The 21554-nt window shown below is 54.3% G+C and overlaps 1 protein-coding gene and 1 pseudogene across 12 annotated transcripts in view, besides 4 other annotated features; both read right to left on the bottom strand.

Annotated features, from left to right (window-relative positions):
- Positions 6184–7133: an enhancer, noted in NCBI's record as "NANOG-H3K27ac-H3K4me1 hESC enhancer chr9:131834073-131835022 (GRCh37/hg19 assembly coordinates)". NCBI's record gives its function as "activates a minimal SCP1, AML or CMV promoter by ChIP-STARR-seq in naive H9 embryonic stem cells {active_cell/tissue: H9 hESC(naive)}" and the evidence as "EXISTENCE:reporter gene assay evidence [ECO:0000049][PMID:30033119]".
- Positions 6845–21554, bottom strand: part of MIGA2 (mitoguardin 2) — a 35457-nt gene continuing 20747 nt past the window's right edge. For 3 of the 12 annotated variants that reach the window (NM_001329990.2, NM_032809.4, XM_011519118.2), the window contains 10 exons: positions 19656–19773; positions 18277–18377; positions 17581–17696; positions 15611–15683; positions 15296–15382; positions 11056–11154; positions 10595–10729; positions 9798–9851; positions 8962–9078; positions 6845–8680 (listed from right to left, as the gene is read on the bottom strand). In NM_001329990.2, the coding sequence (NP_001316919.1) occupies positions 8474–8680; positions 8962–9078; positions 9798–9851; positions 10595–10729; positions 11056–11154; positions 15296–15382; positions 15611–15683; positions 17581–17696; positions 18277–18377; positions 19656–19773 (1107 nt within the window). In that variant the 3' untranslated portion in view covers positions 6845–8473. Of the gene's footprint in view, positions 8681–8961; positions 9079–9797; positions 9852–9951; positions 10909–11055; positions 11155–14001; positions 14121–15295; positions 15383–15610; positions 15755–17580; positions 17697–18276; positions 18378–19444; positions 19468–19655; positions 19774–21554 lie in introns of those variants that run through there. The other 9 variants (NR_138421.2, NR_138424.2, NR_138423.2 and 6 more) reach the window with 8 other exon arrangements.
- Positions 7134–8083: an enhancer, noted in NCBI's record as "NANOG-H3K27ac-H3K4me1 hESC enhancer chr9:131833123-131834072 (GRCh37/hg19 assembly coordinates)". NCBI's record gives its function as "activates a minimal SCP1, AML or CMV promoter by ChIP-STARR-seq in naive H9 embryonic stem cells {active_cell/tissue: H9 hESC(naive)}" and the evidence as "EXISTENCE:reporter gene assay evidence [ECO:0000049][PMID:30033119]".
- Positions 9031–9170: an enhancer, noted in NCBI's record as "active region_29102". NCBI's record gives its function as "activates an Ori minimal core promoter by ATAC-STARR-seq in GM12878 lymphoblastoid cells {active_cell/tissue: GM12878}" and the evidence as "EXISTENCE:reporter gene assay evidence [ECO:0000049][PMID:35858748]".
- Positions 17194–17306, bottom strand: LOC124902334 (uncharacterized; annotated as a pseudogene).
- Positions 18648–19847: an enhancer, noted in NCBI's record as "MED14-independent group 3 enhancer chr9:131821359-131822558 (GRCh37/hg19 assembly coordinates)". NCBI's record gives its function as "activates an origin of replication core promoter dependent on BRD2, BRD4, P300/CBP and CDK7 cofactors, and independent of MED14, by STARR-seq in HCT116 cells {active_cell/tissue: HCT116}" and the evidence as "EXISTENCE:reporter gene assay evidence [ECO:0000049][PMID:35650434]".

Here is a 21554-nt window from a genome sequence, read left to right as displayed (position 1 = left end):
GCAGGAGGTGTGAGGAGCGGGCCGGGAGCTTCTCAGAATAGTTCCCTGGGACAGGACAGCCATCCATGATCTGGGCCACATTGCCGCTCCCAAATAGGCCTTGGGAGCAAAGTCCATGAAATGCAGGCCTGTCAGTGCTGGGAGCCTCCCGAGGGAGGATGAGGATGAGGAACTATGAAATGAGAGGGAGTTACCCAGGGAGGGTTTTCCTGGCAGAGAGAACAGTGTAAGCCAGTGTCCTGGGGCCCGCGTGTGGCTGGATGAAGTGGGCAAGAGGGAAAGAAGGGGTAAGGTGGTGGGGAGGAGGCCCACAGGGGCCTGACCACCCGAAACTTTGAGGGCACTGTTAATGGTGGGGACAGAGGGAAGCTCTGAAGGATGGGTTTGTTGTTGGGTTTGGTTTGGTTTTCTTGTTTAAAATAGAACATTCAGGGCAGGCACCGTGACTAAACCTGTAGTCCCAGCACTTTGAGAGGCCGAGGCGGGAGGATCGCTTGAGCCCAGGAGTTCAGGACTAGCTGGGCAATACAGCAAGACTTCATCTCTACAAACAAATTTTTAAAAATTAGCCAGGCATGGTGGTGCACACCTATGGTCCCAGTTACTCGGGAGGCTGAGATGGGAGGATCACATGAGCTGGGGAGGTAAAGGCTACAGTGAGCTGTGATCCTGCCGCTACACTTCAGCCTGGGCAGCAGAGCAAGACCCTGTCTCAAAAATATGGCTGGGTTGTAATCCCAGCACTTTGGGAGGCCGAGGCAGGTGGATCACCCGAGGTCAGGAGTTCAAGCCCAGCCTGGCCAACATGGTGAAACCCCGTCTCTACTAAAAATACAAAAATTAGCTAGGCATGGTGGCACATGCCTATAATCACAGCTACTTGGGAGGTTGAGGGAGGAGAATTGCTTGAATGTGGAGGTGGAGGTTGCAGTGAGCGGACATCACACCAGCCTGGGCAACAAGAGTGAAACTCTGTCTCAAAAAAAAAAAAAAAAATATATATATATATATATATACATGGCTGGGTGCAGTGGCTCACTCCTGTAATCCCAGCTCTTTGGGAGGCCAAGGCAGGCGGATTACTTGAGGTCAGCAGTTTAAGACCAGCCTGGCCAATATGGCAAAACTCCATCTCTACTAAAAATACAAAAATTAGCTGGGTGTGGTGGCATGCACCTGTAGTCCCAGCTACTCAGGAGGCTGAAGCAGGAGAATCGCTTGAACCTGGGAGACAGAGGTTGCAGTGAACCGAGATCGTGCCACTGCACTCTAGCCTGGGTGACAGAGCAAGACTGTCTAAAATATATATATATACATATATATGTATATGTAAATATTTCATACAGAAAATTTCAGAAATCGAATGTATACAGCTTGATGTGGTTTCATAAACTAAGCACACTTGTATAAGCAGCCCCCACATCAGGAACCAGGAACTTAGGAACCCTGGCGCCCCTCCAGTCACCCCAGGTGACTTCCAACTTCCGACACCACACCTTCAGTTTGGCTGGATTGTGTAATTTCATTTTTGTTTTGTTTTGTTTGTTTTTTGAGGCGGAGTCTCACTCTGTCGCCCAGGCTAGAGTGTAGTGCCGTGATCTCAGCTCACTGCAACCTCCGCTTCCTGGGTTCAAGCGATTCTCATGCCTCGGCCTCACGAGTAGCTGAGACTACAGGTGCATACCAGCATGCCCAACTAATTTTTTGTAGTTTTAATAGAGACAGGGTTTCACCGTGTTGGCCAGGATGGTCTCGATCTCTTCACCTCATGATCTACCTGCCTCAGCCTCTGAAAGTGCTGGGATTACAGGCTTGAGCCACGGAGCCTGGCCTGGATTGTGGAATTTCTGTCAACGGAAGCCTACAGTCTGCAGTTTTTGAGTATGTGGCTTCTTCACTCACATTATGGTTGTGAGCGTTAGCCATGCTGCGGCCTCCAGTGGAAATTTGCTTCCTCTCGTTGCTGTGCGGTATTCCATGGTGTGAACATTCCACAGTTTATTTCCCATTCTAGTCTTTTTTTATTTTTTGTAGAGACAGGGTCTCACTGTGTTGCCCAGGCTGGTCTCGAACTCATGACCTCAAACAGTCCTCCCGCCTTAGCCTCCCAAAGTGCTGGGATTACAGATGTGAGCCACTGCGCCCGGCCCCCATTCTAGTCTTGATGGACATTTGGGTGTTTCTAAGTTTGGGGTGTTAGAAGTATTGCTGCTGTGAACCTGTGCACGGCTATGGACTCGTACCTGTGGAATCATAGCTGTGGATTCATTTCTGAGGGAGACGTGCCTAGGAACCCTTGCAGGGTCCCATGAGATGGACGAGGTGACACAGTCGGACCCAGCTGTTGGACAGGGGCTGGGCGGTGCAGGCATGAATATGGCCAGAAGCCCCAGGGGAGGCTGCCCGAGCTGCCTGCCTCCTCTCTCTGAGCTGAGGGTTTGACCAGTGATGTTCTCGACGCCGGCTCTGCATCCTGAGAGGTGCTGCGTCCTTCTTGTTACCTTCACAACAGCCCTGCAAGGCAGCCCTAAGTGCGCCCAGCTTGTAGCTGAGGATGGCGAGGCTCAGAGTGGCACACTGTTTGCCACGGCCTCCTGGCCCAGGTTCAGAACCTCCTGCGTCTCATGAACCAAACTGCTGGCCACCTCCTCCCACTGCTCCATAGGTTATCAGACAAGCTCTGAAACCCAGGCTTTTCCAGAGCTGTCCCAGGGCAGGGTCTGGCCTTTTACCTCTGGACTTTCCTCTGGCAGGGAGTTCACAGACAAGGTGGCCCTGAGATTAGAGGTACAGAGTCTAATTGCACCGCACCCCAGCCACGCTGGTCTGTGCTCAGGGTCCCAGCAAGCCCTTAGGAAACAAGGCTCTCTCCCTCTCTTGGCCTCCGATATGGTTTGACTGTGTCCCCACCCAAATCTCGTCTTGAATTATCGCTCCCATAATTCCCACGTGTTGTGGGAGGGACCCGGTGGGAGGTAATTGAATCATGGAGGTGGTTACCCCCATACTGTTCCTATGGTAGTGAATAAGTCTCACGAGATCTGATGGTTTTATAAGGGGTTCCCCCTTCCGCTTGGCTCTCATTCCCTCTTGCCTGCTGCCATGCAGGACATGCCTTTTGCCTTCCACCATGATTGTGAGGCCTCCCCAGCCACATGGAACTATGAGTCCATTAACATCTTTTTCTTTATAAATTACCCAGTCTTGGGTATGTCTTTATCAGCAACATGAAAACAGAGTAATACAGCCTCTTTCCCCAAACATGGTGATGCTGCCTTCTGGGTTGGAGGTTCATTTGTTGACTTCAGGAAATATTTGAGTTCCTCAGTCATGCCAGACCACGTGTGGGCATCAGGGATGAAGAGTGAACATAGCCAGCTGGGTGCCACCCTCGGGAAACTGCCATTTCAGTGGAGGCTGTGGAAGCCCTGGATCCCTGTGATGTCAAACTAGAAGTGACAGTTTCGGTTGTAGAAACCTCTGAGAGATGGCCAGGCATGGTGTCTCCCACCTGTAAGCCCAGCACTTTGGGAGGCCGAGGTGGGCGGATCATGAGGTCAGGAGTTCAAAACCAGCCTGACCAATATGGTAAAACCCTGCCTCTACTAAAAATACAAAAATCGCCAGGCACGTTGGCTCACGCCTGTAATCCCAGCACTTTGGGAGGCCAAGGCGGGTGGATCACCTGAGGTCGGGAGTTCAAGACCAGCCTGACCAACATGGAGAAACACCGTCTCTACTAAAAATACAAAATTAGCCAGGGTGGTGGCGCATGCCTGTAATCCCAGCTACTCGGGAGGCTGAGGCAGGAGAATCGCTTGAACCCGGGAGGCGGAGGTTGCGGTGAGCCCAGATGGCGCTGTTGCACTCCAGCCTGGGCAACAAGAGCAAAACTCTGTCTCAAAAAAAAAAAAATAAATACAAAAATTAGCCAGGCTTGGTGGTGGGCACCTGTAGTCCCAGCTACTCGGGAGGCTGAGGCAGGAGAATCGCTTGAACCCAGGAGGCAGAGGTTGCAGTGAGCCAACATCACACCACTGCACTCCAGCCTGGGTGACAGTGCAACACTCCTCAAAAAAAAAAGAAAGAAAAAGAGGAAAAGGTCATTTGCAGAATACTGTGCAGCAACAAGGAAATAAAATACTGAAACGTACCACAGATGGATAAACCTCCAAAACATGCTTCCACCTGAAGAAGCCCACCACAAAGGCCGCCTATTGGATGATTCCATTTACAGCAAATGCCCAGAAAAGGCAAGTCTACACAGAGAGTAGCTTGATGCTGGCCTGGGACTGGGGGATTTACTATAAGTGGGCATCATAGGGTGATGGAAATGTTCTCAAACCATACTGAGGTAATTGGTACACACCTCTGTAAATTTATTTAAAACAGCATTAAAGCACGTGAATCTATGATGTATGAATTATACCTTATTAAAACTGTTTAAAACAAACCAAAACAATTTGGGCACAATGGCTCATGCCTCCTACTTTGGGAGGCCAAGGAGGGGGAATTGCTTAAGCTCAGAAGTTCAAGGCCAGCCCGGGCAACACAGGAAGACCCCATCTCTACAAAAAATACAAAACTTAGCCAGGAGTGGCGGTGAGCTACTTGGGAGGCTGAGGCGGGAGGATTGCTTAGTCTTGTGAGGTCAAGGCTGCAGTGAGCTGAGATCACACACCACTGTACTCCAGCCTGGGTGACAGAATGAGACCTTGTCTCCAAAAAAAAAAGACCAAAACAAACATTTGCCAGCATTGGAGGTGGCTACTGTATCAGCTCATGTCTCTAAAATCTCTAAGATTCAAGCATTTATCCTTCTTTGAGATGGAGTTCATCCCCAGTTGATTGGGAAAAGCTCTTATTTTCAGCAAAGACATTAGAAAATTATTTTTGTTTGTTTGTTTGTTTGTTTTGAGACATAGTCTTGCTCTGTCGCCCAAGCTGGAGTGCAGTGGTGTGATCTCGGCTCACTGCAACCTCCGCCTCCCGGGTTCAGATGATTTTCCTGCCTCAGCCTCCCAAGTAGCTGGGCTTACAAGCATGCACCACCATGCCTGGCTAATTTTTGTATTTTTTTAGTAGAGATGGGGTTTCACCATGTTGGCCAGGCTGATCTCAAACTCCTGACCTCAGGTGATCCACCCACCTCGGCCTCCCAAACTGCTGGGATTACAAGCATGAGCCACCGTGCCTGGCCCCGAGAATTTTTTTTTTTTTTAGGTGTGATCATGGTATTGTGGTTATTCTGGAGAATGACCTTGTTTTTTTGTTTTTTAAGTTCAGGGGTGCATGTGCAGGATGTGCAGGTTTGTTACATAGGTAAATATGTGCCACAGTGGTTTGCTGCACACATCATCCTGTCGCCTAGGTTTTTTTTTCTCTTTTTTTTTTCGAGATGGAGTTTCGCTCTGTCACTCAGGATGGAGTGAAGTGGTGTGATCTCAGCTCACTGCAACCTCTGCCCACCGGGTTCAAGCACTTCTCGTCCCTCAGCCTCCCAAGCAGCTGAGACTACAGGCACCCGCCACCATGCCTGGCCAAGTTTTTGTATTTTTAGTAGAGACGGGTTTCACCATGTTGGCCAGGCTGGTTGCAAACTCCTGGCCTCAAGTGATCCACCTGCCTCGGCCTCCCAAAGTGCTGGGATTACAGGCGTGAGCCACTGTGTCCAGCAGTCCTATCATCTAGGTATTAAGCCCAGCATCCACTAGCTGTTCTTCCTGATGCTCTCCCTTCTCCCACACCCTGCCCTCCGACAGGCCCCAGTGTGTGTTGTTCCCTGCAGTGTGTCCATGTGTTCTCATCATTCAACTCCCACTTACAAGAATGTGACTACCTTGTTTTTAAGCTCTGCTTAAAGGTTTAAGAGTAAAGTACATGTCTGAAACTTAGGCTAAAGTATTTTGGAAATACATGAAATAAACATGGCAAAATGTTGCCGGGAGCGGTGGCTCACGCCTGTAATCCCAGCACTTTGGGAGGCTGAGGCGGGCGGATCACGAGGTCAGGAGATCGAGACCATCCTGGCTAACACGGTAAAACCTCGTCTCTACTAAAAATACAAAAAAATTAGCTGGGCATGGTGGCATGTGCCTGTAATCCCAGCTACTCGGGAGGCTGAGGCAGGAGAATGGCGTGAACCTGGGAGGCAGAGCTTGCAGTGAGCTGAGATCGTGCCACTGCACTCCAGCCTGAGTGACAGATCGAGACTCTGTCTCAAGAAAAAAAAAAAAAAGTCAAAATGTTAATTACATGACCAGAAGTGTTGGTTTTATATAGTTTTTTCAATTTTTCCATACATTTGAAATTTTTTTTTAAAGTTTCTTTTTTAAAAACCTGTAAAATAAAACTTGTGATTTCCAGCTGCCCATGAAAACTTGTAACGATCCGGCAGGCTTGGACCTGTTCCCAGTGTTCCAGCCCCTCCCCCTGGCTCTCACAGCTTGGGGGGTAACAACCTTTAAGCCTGTGAGTCTGCATCTTGGCCCGGTCCAGTGCCTGCATTTTACAGATGTGGAAACTGAGGGCCAGTGAGAATCGACTTCCCTAAGATGGTGCCTGAGCAGGGTCCACAGCCAGGCTGCCCACCTTGCATCCATGGCCTTGAGCGTGGCACTGGCCGCTCCCCACCCTTCCCCGCGGACCACCGGGGCCCTCCCTGCCTAGGGATGGCTGGATCCTGTCAGGCAGTCAAGTTGCCCCAAGTAGGATCACAGCCCCCACCAGGCTTCTCCTGACCTTTGTCCTCCTGGAACCTTCACCCACGGCACCCCAAAAAGCAGGTGCCCTGCTCTGCCCCAAGAAGCAAACAGCCATGCACATAACCAACAACATGGCAAAGTGGAAGGAAATCGTCTCAATTGTTTATTCGACTCACAGTCAGTGCACACACTCTACCATCCAAAAGTCGAAGCTGTGACAATCGACTGCTACAGGCAGTGCATGGATGTGTAAACAAACACAAATGAAAATGCAAATCAGAGTGGGCGGGGCCAAGGCCCACTGTTACATTCACAGCACAGGGTAAGTGCAAAAGAACAGGATGTCAGGATGGGGGGCGGGGAGCACAGGGTCCTTCCTGCCCTGGAGGCTGCCTCCAGGCATCAGCCTGGGAGGTGGGTTAGTGCCCATGGAACCCTCCTGCCCAGGAAGCTGCCTCCGGGCATCAGCCTGGGAGGCGGGTTAGTGCCCATGGATCCGGTGTCTGGGAAGGGGCCCACAGAAGATGGGCCACACCCAGCATCATCTCCTCTCTGTGGTGCGCCCTCCCATCCCCAGACCCCTTTCCCATTCAGGGGAGAGGGGCCCTGGTCACAGGAGCCAGTCCTCTGACCTCCTGAGTGTGGAAACCCAGGAGGGGAGTGTGTTTCTCCTGCAGGCCTCTCAACCTGGAAAGGGCAGAGCCACAGCAGAACGCGTTGGGGCCACAGACACTCGCTCAGGTGAAGACACTGAGAAGACACTGCCGGGCTGACAGGACCCCGCGGCGGGGGGACGTCGCTGCTAACAGGACTCTCTGCAGGCCCAGGGGAGGCTCTGCCCCCATGAGGCCCCAGGAGCGTTTGTGCGTTGAACTGAAGGCAAAGTGCTGGGCAGTTTCTTGTCCTAATGAAGGTGGGGAAGCTGGTCCGGCCACATACATCCTCTGACCTCCCCCAAGTGGTCCCCGGGCCCACAGGTGACAGGGGCCTGAGCGATCCCTGGTCTGAGCCCCCAGCTCAGAGCCTAGCACCACCCAGGGAGGTCTGGGCTCATGGAAGGGGGATGGGCGGGGGCAGGAGGGCCCAGCCCCACCTCCGCCCGTCTTTGGTGGTGACAGAGGTGGGAGGAGAAAAGACGATCTTTGGTAGGGCGAGGGAATGTCAAAGGACACTGTCAAGGGCCCAGTTCCTGCTCAGAAGAGAGCACAGGAGTGGGAGGCCCACCTCTGCCCCATCTCTGGATGGCCCAGGCCTGCTGCCCACTAAGGTGGCCCCACTCTCCTTCTCTGGAGTTGCAAACTCTCTGAGAAGGCGGTTGAGGTGGGGAGGGCATCAGGACAGGCCAGCTGGATGCTGAGACCATATAGCCACAGGTGGCTTCTAGCTCAGGACACTGTGACCTTCACCACAGGGCTCTAGGCCCCATCCTTCACCTCCACCCTCCCAGCACCCTTGTCAGCAGCCCTGGAGCGATGGGAGGTTTTGGGGTCCCCCACCTGGGGCATCCTGGCTCTGCCTGTCCCAATTCTCCACAACAACCCCCTCTCTCACAGCCTTTCTCTCCCACAGGCCCCACTGGTCCTGGCCTCTGCTTCCCCCAGGAACCGTTCTTCTCCATGGAAATGTCCCCTCTGGGCCTTGGGGACTCCCAGATGATGGGGGTGGGGCAAAGTCAGGGGCAACGGCCCTCAGCCACCACAGCTGTCAGATACCAACCCAGGGAAGGGAGGAGGAGCCTTCTCTCTGCCACCCCCCAGCCCGTGCCGCCTCTACTGCAGCTCCCCCAGGGGCCCATTCTCTCGGGGCAGCGCCCCATTCACGCCTGCGCTGCTGGCCGCGGGCACCCCCAGGTACCCCAGCAATATCTCGCTGCGGCGCCGGGACAGCTGCAGGATGTCGTCTGCCAGCGCGGGCAGTGACGTGTAGCGCACATTGTCCAGGTCGAACATGTCCCTCAGGTACTGCACAATCTGGTGCTGGGGGAGCAGGGCTGGTGTCAGGCCTGGCCCAGCCACTGCCCACCATGATGCCCCCCAGGTTACCTGAAGTCCCCTTGTCCACCACCAGAGCCCCAGCCGGTCCTTTCCATCCCCAGGCTCCTCCCTCCCACTGCTTCCTCTGGACCCATGTGGGTCTGGCTCTGCCCTCTCTCTGGGAGCAGGCCCAGGCCCAGGCCCTCATCCCATTCCTGGCACCTCCCAGGGCGCCTGTGCTCAGGGCAAGGGTCAGGAAAGAACGAGAACTGCTCTCTGTTTACCTTGAAGAAAGCACAGACTTCAGCAAGCTGAGGCTTGGGTCCAAGGAAGCCGAAGGCTAGGACAGGGCTCACATGCTCCGATACGGAGTAGAAATGGGAGATGAAGCCATCAGGCACCTGCGGTGGGCACAAGGCTGAGGGGCCAGGCGGGGCCCAGGTAGGATGAGGGCACCAGGCCCAGGTGTCGCATAAAGGGCTGGGCTTTAGAGGTCGCCCCAGCTCATGTACTTTCCTGCTAGATGACCCTGGGCAGTGACTCAAGCTTTCGAAGCCCATTTTAACTTCTGCAGACAGGGTAACCATGGGCCGCTGTGAGTACTGCAAGAGGTGGGGCCATAGTGGCTCCGCGGGAAGTGCCTGGAGCACGTGGCCACGGCAGCTGGTATCAGCTAGGCAACAGAGCCTGGCCCGCAGAGGGGAACGACAAACCACAGGCCAGATAGCACAGCCAGTCGCTGCCTGGGAGCGGAGATTACAGGGGCCTGACTGGGGCGGGGAAAGGGCAGGAGGGACAGGGCTCTGCTTGCTCCTGGGTATCCTGCCCCCACCGAGACGCCTGCACCAGGCCAGCTGCCAGCCCTGTGGCCACTACCCTAGGGTATCCGTTCCCCTCCCCAGTGGCCTGCTCTGTGCTGGGCCTGGGGAGGAGAGGAAGTGGGTCTACACGAGCCTCCAGGGAGCTCCTGGCACAGGGAGAGGTAACGGCGGAACAAGGGGGCCAGGACTGTGAGCGGTGAAGGCCAAGTGGCCCAGCGAGCCACCCTGCACCCGCTCCGCTCCCCACCACGCTGCCTCAGAGCCCAGCTCGTGCTCCCCCGGGCCTGCCAGTCACTCACCATCAGCAGCCTCCTCTTGGCTTTCAGGACCGACCAGCAAGCAGTGGCCAAGGCCTACATCAAAAATAGGATGTCCCCCGGGTGTCAAAATGGGCCTAGCCCACAGCCCCTCGCCCTCTGCCAGCCCAGCACCAAGCCCTTAAACCCAGCTCACCCCACTCCAAGCAGGAAGATGGGGCCAGGTGCCTAAGCTCTGCTGCTTCCTCCTCTGATTTTGGACTCAGACATACCTAAACTTGAATCTTGACTCTAATCTTACTGCTGGATCTTCTCTGAGCCTCGGTCTCCTCTTCTGTAAAGGGGCACAACACAGCACTCCCACCTCCTTTGGTGGTTGTGGGAGCAATGGTTCCCGCCTGTAAACCACCTCGCAGAAGCCTGGGCCCAGGCAGCACAGCCCGGCTGCTGGAGCGTTACTGCTTGCCTTCCTGGGGGTCCTGTGCTGGGTTGTCTCTCACTCTGTGCCTTTTTTTCCTTTTGGTTTTGCTTTCCCCTCTTTTAACTTGATTTAACAGGATGCATTAAAATGGAATCGAATTCATACCAGCACAAAAGTAAAACCACACAATAGGAAGAAAGCGCACACCATGTTGGTTCTAAACTGGGGCACCAGGCAGCAACGGGGCACCCTGGAGGCTTCTCCAGGGCAGACTCTGGTCTCCCAGGCCTGGCAGCCGCGGATCTAGGGGGTGGGGGCCCAGCCCTGGTGCCAGTGCTAGGGACAGAGGGGACGGAGCCAGGCAACCACACGGGCTGATGTGAGCAAGTGTGGGTCTGAGAGCAGGGCAGTGACCCACCGTCTCCTTGAAGCTGTCTGACAGCCAGCGGTTCCGCAGGACGGCGAGCACCGAGGCCGGAGGGTTCTCCAGGTCCTCGAAGGCGTCCATGAGGATGAAGTCCAGCACGATGTCGAAGAAGCTCATGCATACCACCTACAGAGGGTGCCCCCGGGAGGCTCATGCATGGGGGCACTGCCGGAGCCTCGGGGCCACTTTCCAGATGGGGAGACTGAAGCTGGGGTCCAGGGCATGAGCACACGTGGGGGGGACACGTCTTTCCCGCTCTGCTGTGCAACGGGTGTAGCTGAGGCCATTCCTCCCTCTGCCTTGGCCTGGGGCAGGGCAGGAACCGGGGACTATGAGCAGTGATGGAACCGTCTCAGCCGCTTGGAACTGAGCTAGAGCTCGGCACAAGAACCCCCTTGCTGCTCAGATGCAGGGGAGCCCGGGATGTCGGGGTTCAGCACAAAGCAACTCACCCCTCGGCCCTCCAGCTCCAGCCGTGTTGTGGCCCAGGTCTCGGGCCGCAGGGCATAGCTCAGCATCTCCTCGTAGCTCTCCAGGAAGCCTTTGGGGCTCTGTGGAGAGAAGCACGGCCCATCCTGGTCACTGGACAAGACCCACAGGGACAGGCTGGCCTGTGGATGGGGGACATGCCAAGGCACGGCTGGGGCCCATCCCCACGCAGCAGGCACAGAGAAAACGTGGCAGAGAAGTGTCTCCTACTCAGCACAGCAGGCTTCTCCAGAGAACCAGGGCACCCAGTCAGGTCTCAAGCCAGCTCCTCTGCTGAGCACCTGCTAACTTCCAGGAGTGCCCAGTGTGACAGTGTGATCTCACTTTGGAGGGACACAGAATGTGAGGGTTAGAGTCAGGCAGCTGAAGGTTCAAATCTCCGTGACCTTGGACCTCAACAGGAAAGGGGAGAAGCTACAGCCGCACCCTGATGAGGCTCTTCTAGGGCAGTTGCCGAGCTCGTGTGTGACGCAGTCAGTCCAGCGCCAAAGCATTCAACAAACAGCGTTTAAAGTGCCGCTGCACGGCACGGAGGCTCTCGGCACACATCCTTCACTCTCTGGGACCCTGGGGGTTAGCTGGGGTTTGGGATGCTCTTTTCAGATGTGGGTCTGCATTTACGATGTAGAAAAACACTAAGTGTTAGGGTCGGTTCTCAGAGTGGATTAACTCGTGATTTTTTTTTTTTTTTTTTTTTTTGAGATGGAGTCTCGCTCTGTCACCTAGGCTGGAGTGCAGTGGCACGATCTCAGCTCACTGCAAGCTCTGCCTCCCGGGTTCACGCCATTCTCCTGCCTTAGCCTCCCAAGTAGCTGGGACTACAAGTGCCTGCCACCACGCCCGGCTAATTTTTTTTTTTTTTTTTTTTTTTTTTTGAGACAGAGTCTCGCTCTATTGGCAGGCTGGAATGCAGTGGCACAATCTCAGCTCACTGCAACCTCCGCCTCCCGGGTTCACGCCATTCTCCTGCCTCAGCCTCCCGAGTAGCTGGGACTACAGGTGCCCGCCACCACGCCCGGCTAATTTTTTTTGTATTTTTAGTAGAGACGGGGTTTCGCCATGTTAGCCAGGATGGTCTCGAACTCCTGACCTTGTGATCTGCCTGCCTTGGCCTCCCAAAGTGCTGGGATTACAGGCATGAGCCACTACGCCCAGCCTTTCTTTTTTTTTTTTTTTTTGGTCGCCCAGGCTGGAGTGCAGTGGCGTGATCTTGGCTCACTGCAAGCTCCGCCTCCTGGGTTCATGCCATTCTCCTGCCTCAGCCTCCCGAGTAGCTGGGACTACAGGCGCCCACCACCATGCCCAGCTAATTTTTTGTATTTTTAGTAGAGACGGGGTTTCACTGTGCTAGCCAGGATGGTCTTGATCTCCTGACCTCGTGATCCTCCCGCCTTGGCCTCCCAAAGTGCCGGGATTACAGGCGTGAGCCACTGCGCCCAGCCTCATTTCTTAATAAAACCAAAGTCCCATACTGGGAAGGTTACAAAGAGGAGCTCCCCAGAGGGTGGGGCCCTGGCACCCACCTTAACCCTCCTTCACTTGTTCACTCACCCAGCTTCCTGGGGAGGCCCACAGACACCAAGTCAAGGGCTCAGGCTGGGTCCGGGCCACCTGGCTTCAAATCCAGTCTACCCTTCACATGCTCAGTACCCTGGACAAGCCGCCTTCCCTTCCTGGGCTCAGTGTCCTCATCCGCCAAGCAGAAATTGCAGTGAGGCTCGAATGAACTCCCCGCAGTGAAGAACCATTGAGTATACACTGAGCTCACTGCCAGGTAAACGGCCACTGCCAGGAGAATATCCGAGGAGTGCTGATGCAGTACCCGCCCTGTGCTAGGCCCTGGATGGGGCACACATCTGTGCCAGGAGAGTTCTGACACTGGCCCTCATGGAGCTAACTGAATAACGGGGGAGGAAGGACAAGGCAGCTCATGAGCAGGAGGCAGGGTAGTGAGGCCACACCGCCACGGTGAGCCCAAGGGTTCTCTCGGGCCTCAGGGGATGAGTCAGGTGATGACCTCCTGGGGACAGAGAAGGGTACTCAGATGACAAGTGACCAAGGAAGGGAGAGGGAGGAGGACACAGGAAAAAGTGGTGTGGGGGGCTTCCAGTTACTGGTATATGTCCCACTTCCTAACCTGGGTGCTGGTTATACAGGCGTTGTCTTTCATTAAATCCTATACATAGGCCGGGCGTGGTGGCTCACACCCGTAATCCCAGCACTTTGGGAGGCTGAAGCGGGTGGATCACCTAAGGTCAGGAGTTCGAGACCAGCCTGGCAAACATGGTGAAACCCTGTCTCTACTAAAAATACAAAAATTAGCTGGGTGTGGTGGCGCACACCTGTAATCCCAGCTACTTGGGAGGGAGACCAAGGCAGAAGAATCACTTGAACCTGGGAGGCAGAGATTGCAGTGGGTCGAGATCGCACCACTGTACTCCAGCCCGGACAACATGGCAAGTCTCTGTCTCAAAAAAAAAAAAATCCTATAGATACTTTTTGGGTGGTTTTTTGTTTTTTGGTTTTTTATTTTTTGAGACAGGGTCTCACTCTGTTGGCCAGGCTGGAGAGCAGTGGTGCAATCATGGCTCACTGCAGCCTTGAACTCCTGGCCTCAAGCAATCCTCCCATCTCAGCCTCTCAAGTGCTGGGATTACAAGCGCAAGCCACCATGCCCGGCCAAATCCTATATTTTTTACACTCTCTCCTATGTGTATTTCATAATAAAGTTTAAAAAAAAAAAAAAGATTGAGGACAGGTGTGGTGGCTCACATCTATAATCCCAGCACTTTGGGAGGCCAAGGAGGGCGGATCACCTGAGGTCAGGAGTTTGAGATCTTCCTGGGCAACATAGCAAAACCCTGTCTCTATGAAAAATATAAAAATTAGCCAGGCGCGGTGACACATGCCTGTAATCCCAGCTACTCAGGAGGTTGAGGTGGGAGGATTGCTTGAACCCGGGAGGTGGAGGTTGCGGTGAGCGGAGATCGTGACATTGCACTCCAGACTGGGTGGCGGGAGTGAAACCCTGTCTCAAAAAAAAAAAAAACAAGATTGAGCAACAGTGTTCCTGGGGCAGAGACCAGCATATGTAAAGCCCAGATCAGGCAGCAAGTCTGGTGCACTAGAAGCAGGCCCTTCAGCCAGACAGGACGAAGCTCACAGGGCAGCAAACCACCAAACAGAGCTTGGCCTTCACCCCAAGGGCAGCAGGCGCAAGTGAGGGTTGTAGGCAGCTGGCTAGTGAGGTCAGATGTGTGTTTTAGAATCATCTGTCCGACCTGTTCAAAAGCTTTGCTCAAACCCATTAAAGAAAAAAAAAAAAAAAGGCCAGGCACGGTGGCTCATGCCTGTAATCCCAGCACTTTGGGAGGCCGAGGCGGGCGGATCACGAGGTCAGGAGATCGAGACCATCCTGGCTAACACGGTGAAACCCTGTCTCTACTAAAAATACAAAAAAATTAGCCGGGCACGGTGGCGAGCGCCTGTAGTCCCAGCTACTCGGGAGGCTGAGGCAGGAGAATGGTGTGAACCCGGGAGGCGGAGCTTGCAGTGAGCCGAGATCATGCCACTGCACTCCAGCCTGGGCGAGAGAGCGAGACTCTGTCTCAAAAAAAAAAAAGACGAAAAAATCATCAAAAAAATTATGCAACCTCATCAATAATCAGAGATGCAAGGAAACACCCTTATATTGCTGGCAGTGATGTAAGTTGTGAAGGCCTTTTGGAGGGCAAACTAGCAATATCTGCCGGGCTTCTAAATGTCCAGGACCCAGAAATGTCATATCCAAGGCTCTGCCCCACAGAAAACCTCACAAGAGAGCAGTAGAAGGAAGATTATATAGTGTTGTCTGTGATGGTGAACCTCAGACAGCCCAGGTGTTCCTCCATCAGGGAATGGAGGCCTCGTGTGGCGCTCTCCACGCAATGGGACCCTCCGCAGCTGGGGAAAACCCCTCCCAGTGCCAGCATGGAGAGACGGACGCCACATGCCGCCACACTCCAGGGTAAACTGCGGGATGGTAAGTAGGGCACAAAGGCTTAGAAATGGAATAACAAGATCCACGGTTGCAGAGTCTACAGAACGGAGTAGGAGGAACGTGTATCAGCCTGTGCACAGGGGTTCCCTCTGGCAGGTGGGGTTCAGGGGGACCCTCTGTGGTTTGCATTTTATAATTTGCCCCCCCACCCCACCCCCTGCTACCTTCTCAGCCTTGGTCATCAGGCCTGTCACCATCTGTCGGCCCACTTTCCCGAAGAAAAGCTGGTTACTCTTGTCTTCCAGAAGCCCCTAGGGAAGGAGGAAGGGAGGGGAGTGAGCTGCCGGGCACGGCAGTCCCTCAAAGCCCACGGAGAGGGCCACATAAGAGGCCAGGTAGGTGGCCCACCTGCCACAGAGGAGCCCAGTGTGGGAGCAGGCCTGGCCAGGGACCAGGAGGCCACATACATGCCACACAGCCATGGCCAGCCTGACTACCCCTTGCCTCCCACCCCCGAGGAACCCCCAGGCCACACCCACCTCGAAGGCCTGCCGCACACAGTGCAGCTTGGCCAGAAAGTCCTGGTCACTGTAGCAGCCCAGCAGCTCCGTCCTGAGGGGAGGACAGACGGCGTCACACAACCTGGTCCCTGCCCAGCGATGCCCCGGGGGGTCAGGTGGCACCTGGGTGGGGAGGGGGGAGGCTCTGGCTCCAGCCCTGGCCCTGCCTCAGCCTGGCAGTGTGGCCTCTGGCTGGCGTCTGCCTCCCTTGAGGCCTTGGTCTTCCCAGGCCAAAGGACGAGGCTGCCTGGATGATCTCTGAGGACGTGTCAGCCTCTCAGGCACCGGGTACAGAGATGACCGAGGCCTCCTTAGGCCACAACCAGCCCCACACTTCACTGGCAAAGGACTGAAATGGCCAAACTGCCTCCTGACAGCAGATGTGGCAGATCACCCTGATCACTTCAGCCAGTGTCTGATTCATTTCTGGTCAGTGAACTTTTTTTTTTTTTTAGACGGAGTCTCGTTCTGTCACTCAGGTTGGAGGGCAGTGGTACAATCTCAGCTCACTGCAACCTCCGCCTCCCAGGTTCAAGTGATTCTCCTGCCTCAGCCTCCCAAGTAGCTGGGACTACAGCCACGTACCACCACGCCCGGCTAATTTTTGTATTTTTAGTAGAGACGGGGTTTCACCATGTTAGCCAGGTTGGTCTTGAACTCCTGACCTCAAGTGATCTGCCTGCTTTGGCCTCGCAAAGTGCTGGGATTACAGGTGTGAGTCATGGCGCCTGGCCCAGTTTTTTTGCTTTTTTTTTTTTTTTTTTGAGATGGAGTCTCGCTCTGTTGCCCAGGCTAGAGTGCAGTGGCACGATCTCCACTCACTGCAACCTCTGCCTCCCGGGTTCAAGTGATCCTCCTGTCTCAGCCTCCCAAGTAGCTGGGACTACAGGTATGTGCCACCATGCCCAGCTAATTTTTATATTTTTAGTAGAGATGGGGTTTACACCATATTGGCCAGCTTGGTCTTGAACTCCTGACCTCAGGTGATCTGCCCGCCTTGGCCTCCCAAAGTGCTGGAATTATAGGCATGAGCCACCCTGCCCAGCTCCAGATAAACTTTTAAACATACATACTGAAATCTGCAAGCCATGATCAAAAAGCCAAGTTCTCAGGCTGGGTGTGGTGGCTCACACCTGTAGTCCCAGCACTTTGGGAGGCCAAGGCAGGTGGATCACTTGAGGTGAGGAGTTTGAGACCAGCCTAGCCAACACAGTGAAACCCCATCTCTACTAAAAATACAAAAAAAAAAAAAAAAAGTCAAGTTCTCAGTCTCTTATCATAATAAGATAATAATACATAATACATAAAAATAATACAAAAAAGTTAATAATAACGTTAATATAAGATAGTGAAGAGGCCTAAACATAACCACAGACAAAGAAACTGAGGCTAAGAGAAGTTAAGCGACTTGTTCAGGGTGGCAGAACTTGGAGTCTGGGCCTGTCTGTCCCCACAGCCTGGGTACCTGACCTCTCCTACAGAGGAGCTGTGTCCAGACACTGCGCTTAGGACCAGTGCCCCCTGTGTGGCTGTGGCTGTACCCGCTGAGAATTTACTTTTGTTTTCATATGGAATGCTTAGTAAATCTGCATGTTATCCTTATGCCGGGACCACGTTCATCTTCTCTGTATCATTCCAATTTTTTTTTCAGTGTATGTGCTGTAGAAGCATACACTCTCTCAGAATTTAGAACTGGTAGTAACTATTGTTCTTTATTAATTATGTTCATTTGTTACTGTCATTATTGGTATCAGACCTGCCAGTATGGGTCCATCCAGGCCCTCTGCAGCTGGGGGAGGAGCTGTCACCAGCTCACCACGGCCCTCAGGCAGCCTGGACTCACTCAGGCTAAGTCCTCGCCAAGCACCGCTGGCTTCTCCGCCTCCCGCAAGGGCCAGAATCACCCATCGCCTCCTGCTCCCTCCCTCCCTCCCTCCACACCTGCTCACCTGAGGGTCCGGCAAGGCACTCTCCCCTCCTTCACCAGCTGCAGGGCCTCCTCATAGGCAGCGGCGGGTCTGGAGAGTGGGATCGGGTAATCTCCAGTCTGCAGGGACTCAAAGAGCTGGGAGAGGGTGCAGAGGAAGAGACCAGGGAAGCCCATGTGAGCAGCACGCCACGGCGCAAGGGCACCTGCCCATTGGTCGGCCACAGCGGCCACCCCAGGTGCCTGCCCACTGCCAACGTCTCTGAGGGGATGTCAGAGGGAACACTGGCCAGGAGGCTCCAGTTCGAGCCCAGTTCTGGCCCTCAGCATCCCCATCTCCAGGGGTCCCTCCCAAAAAGGCCATCTAAAGGACACATGTGCATGTCCTCCCATCCCAAGGAAGGACACAGTGCCTGATCCATGTGCCCATGGCAGGAGACTGAGGCCAAACAATGGGCACAGCGGTCTGGAGAAGGGAAAGGCCAGCACGGGCTGGAGCCCTTCGGGGTGGAACCCCTGCTCTCACCCACAGGACAACAGCCCCCGATTTCTCAGCACCCCCCATCCCCAACAGCTTCGAGGAGGCCCGTGGGAGCATCCAAATTCTCCCATCAGAGGAAATGCCTCCACTTTCCCATGACCCAGTGCTGGCCCCATGGACCTGCAGAGGAGGCCCAGCCTTCACCCCACCCCAGGCTTGGTCCCCACCCCGAGTCACCTCGGTGGCGGAGAAGAAGGAATCCTCTGAAGTCAGGCTGTCCTCATCGTCCGCCCGCAGCCGCAGCGAGCCCTCGGTCAGGGGCAGCATGAGGGTCCTCTCTGGGAAGAGCAGTGAGAGAAAGCGGGGCTGAGACTCCCCACACAGTGCTCAGCTGGAATCCCGGTACACGAAGTCCCCCATCAGGCCCAGGGGAGGCTTCATCCCGAGCCTGTGATTCCCACACTCAATGGCAAAGCTCTGACGTGCCAAGCGCTTCTGTGTGAGGACGCTGGACTCCTCGCCTCAGTGAGTGACCTCCTTCAACACCCACGACATCCTCGGAGGTCGTCAGCCTCAGGTGTGAGCCCTCGGCTGGTGAGCGGCTCTGCCAGGCTCACAGGTTGCACCGCTGGACCTGAGGCCTGAAGGCCCAAGCTCTGCAGGGGGAGGACCTTGAACTGTGTGGCCCCGGGGAAATCGCCTCTCTCCTCTGACAAGCTGAAACTCAGCCATTGATACCAAGGGCTCGAAAGAGTCCACAGCCACTAACCTGGAGTTCCCCTCCGTGCTCGCCCAAGGGCTGAGGGGTGTGGACCTCCAAGGGTGCTCAGGAAAGGATTGTCGAGCAAATAAGCAAAGGCCACAGACCTGCGGCGGGCCACCCTAAAGGTCCCCCAGCCCTTTCTGCCATGTAGGGAGGCCAGAGGAGGCAGATTCCTCCAACAGAGAAACCACACCCAGAGCACGTGGGGAGAAGCCAGGGCAGGGTGCGTGGCTCGGCCGACCCACTCCGGTTCTGTGTCTCCACTGGCAGAGCCAGGCAGCTGGACCCTCAGGAGTCTGAGGGTCCCACAGGGTTGAGTGCACAGGGAGGGGCCAGGGTGTCATTCACTGCAGGGGTCCGAAGAGGACAGTGGCTGTTTGGCAGAATAACTTGGTTCCCCCTCAGTATGTCACATCATTTCACCTCAGCGCACCCAACAACAGGAACTTCTGTTCTTGGCCTTTGGCCTGCTCTGAGTGAACCTCCCGTGAGTCACTCCATCCACCCACCCAGTTTGAGCCACAGGAAAGGACTCGAAGCGAAGGCCTGGGAGAGCCATCAGGGAGATGCTGCCACACGAACCCCAAGGCTGCACCCAAGAGGATGGAGCCAGGTGCACTTGCTGGGGATTCTGGGCCTCACCTCAGCTCTGCTCCAGCCTGCCATGGAGAAGGGAACACCTCAGTTTCCCCATCTGTGCCATAAGGTGCTGGATCACGCGAGGTCGGAGAGCCCTGGGGATTCTGATTCATTGGACGCACTGAGAGAACCACGACCCGGTTCTCGCAACTTCTCCTCACCTCCATCCCTGCCACCCTCCACGCCCACCCCACCTGCACTGGGCCCAGCTCACCGAGGTCTAGCAGCATGCTGTCTGCGGGGAAGGTGGAGCCGAACTCCTCCTGCAGGTGGTAGGCACGGTGCAGCAGGGACTCCAGCTTCTCTGCAAACTCCTTCCGCTGTGACTCTGGCTGCCATAAAAACAAGGACCCTCAACCCAGACCCTCAAAGCTCCCGATGAAAATGGCCCCTTCCCTCACCCCCAGGTCCCTGGGGAAAGGGGAGGAGCTCTAGGACCCAGCAGCTAAGCACATAAACTCCAAAACTTCACTGCTCGATAGAGGAGCCACCAGCCACTTCTGGCAGCTGAGCACTGGAAACCTGGACAGTCCCAGAGTGTAAACACACACCAGATTTCAAACACGGCACCAAAAAGCATAGACTGTCTCAGGAATCTTTTCTGTTGATTACATGCTGAAATGATCACATACTGGACATACCAGGTTACATGAAGTACAGCTGACCCTTGAAAACTGTGGACTTAGGTTGCCAGGCACAGTGGCTCACGCCTGTAATCCCAGCATTTTGGGTGGCCGAGGTGGGCAGATCACAAGGTCAGGAGTTCGAGACCAGCCTGACCAACATGATGAAACCATATCTCTACTAAAAATACAAAAATTAGCCGGGTGTGGTGGCGGGTGTCTATAGTCCCAGCTACTCAGGAGGCTGAGGCAGGAGAATTGCTTGAACCTGGGAGGCAGAGGTTGCAGTGAGCCAAGATCGCGCCATTGCACTCTAGCCTGGGCGACAGAACAGGACTCCGTCTCAAAAAAAAAAAAAAAAAAAAAGAAAGAAAGAAAATTGTGGACTTATGGTAACTGACTCACCCCTGTGCCCACATAGTTGAAAATCTACATAAAAAACTTTTTTTTTTTTTTTTTTGAGACAAGGTCTCGTTCTGTCACCCAGCCCGCAGTGCAGTGGCGCAATCACATCTAACCACAATCTCAACCTCCTGAGTTCAAGTGATCCTTCCGTCTCTGCTTCCCTAGTAGCTAGGACACTACAGGCATACATCACCATACCTGGCTAACTTCTGTATATATCTTTGGTAGATACAGGGTTTTGCCACATTGCCCAGGCTGGTTTCAAACGTATGGGTTCATGCAATCCTCCTGCCTCAGCCTCCCAAAGTGCTAGGATTAGAGGTGTGAGCCACCGTGCCCAGCCCACATATAACTTTTGACTCCTCTAAAAGTAGGGGGAGTTATTAGTAGGTTATTAACTACTAATAACCTATTGTTGACCAGAAGTCTTAATAAGAATGTAGTCGATTAACACATATTTTGTATGTTCTATGTATTATATTCTGTATCCTTATACCAAACTAAGCCAGAGAAAAGAAAATGTTATTAAAGAAATCATAAAGAAGAAAAATGGACCGGGTGAGGTGGCTCACACCTATAATCCCAGCACTTTGGAAGGCAGAGGCAGGAGGATCCCTTGAGCCCAGAAGTTTGAGACCAGCCTAGGCAACATGGAAAGACCCTATCTCTACAAAAAATACAAAAATTAGGTGGGCGTGGTGGCGTGTGCCTGTAGTCCCAGCTACTCAGGAGGCTGAGGTAGGAGGATCATGTGAGCCCAGGGAGGTTGAGGTTGCAGTGAGCCATAATGGTGCCACTGCACTCCAGCCTTGGTGACAGAGCGAGACTCTGTCTCAAAATAAATAAATAAATGAAAGGAAATCATTGGGCCAGGCACAATGGCTCACACCAGTAATCCCAGCACTTTGGGAGTCCAAGTCAGGGGGATCACGAGGTCAGGAGATCGAGACCATCCTGGCTGACATGGTGAAACCCCGTCTACTAAAAATACAAAAAATCAGCCGGGCATGGTGGCGGGCGCCTGTAGTCCCAGCTACTTGGGAGGCTGAGACAGGAGGATGGCATGAACCCGGGAGGGGGAGCTT

This window comes from Homo sapiens, chromosome 9 (assembly GCF_000001405.40).
Source record: "Homo sapiens chromosome 9, GRCh38.p14 Primary Assembly".
NCBI classification, from domain to species: Eukaryota; Metazoa; Chordata; class Mammalia; order Primates; family Hominidae; genus Homo; species Homo sapiens.
Note: the sequence above shows the minus strand (reverse complement) of the source record. Positions and strands in the feature narration are given on the sequence as shown.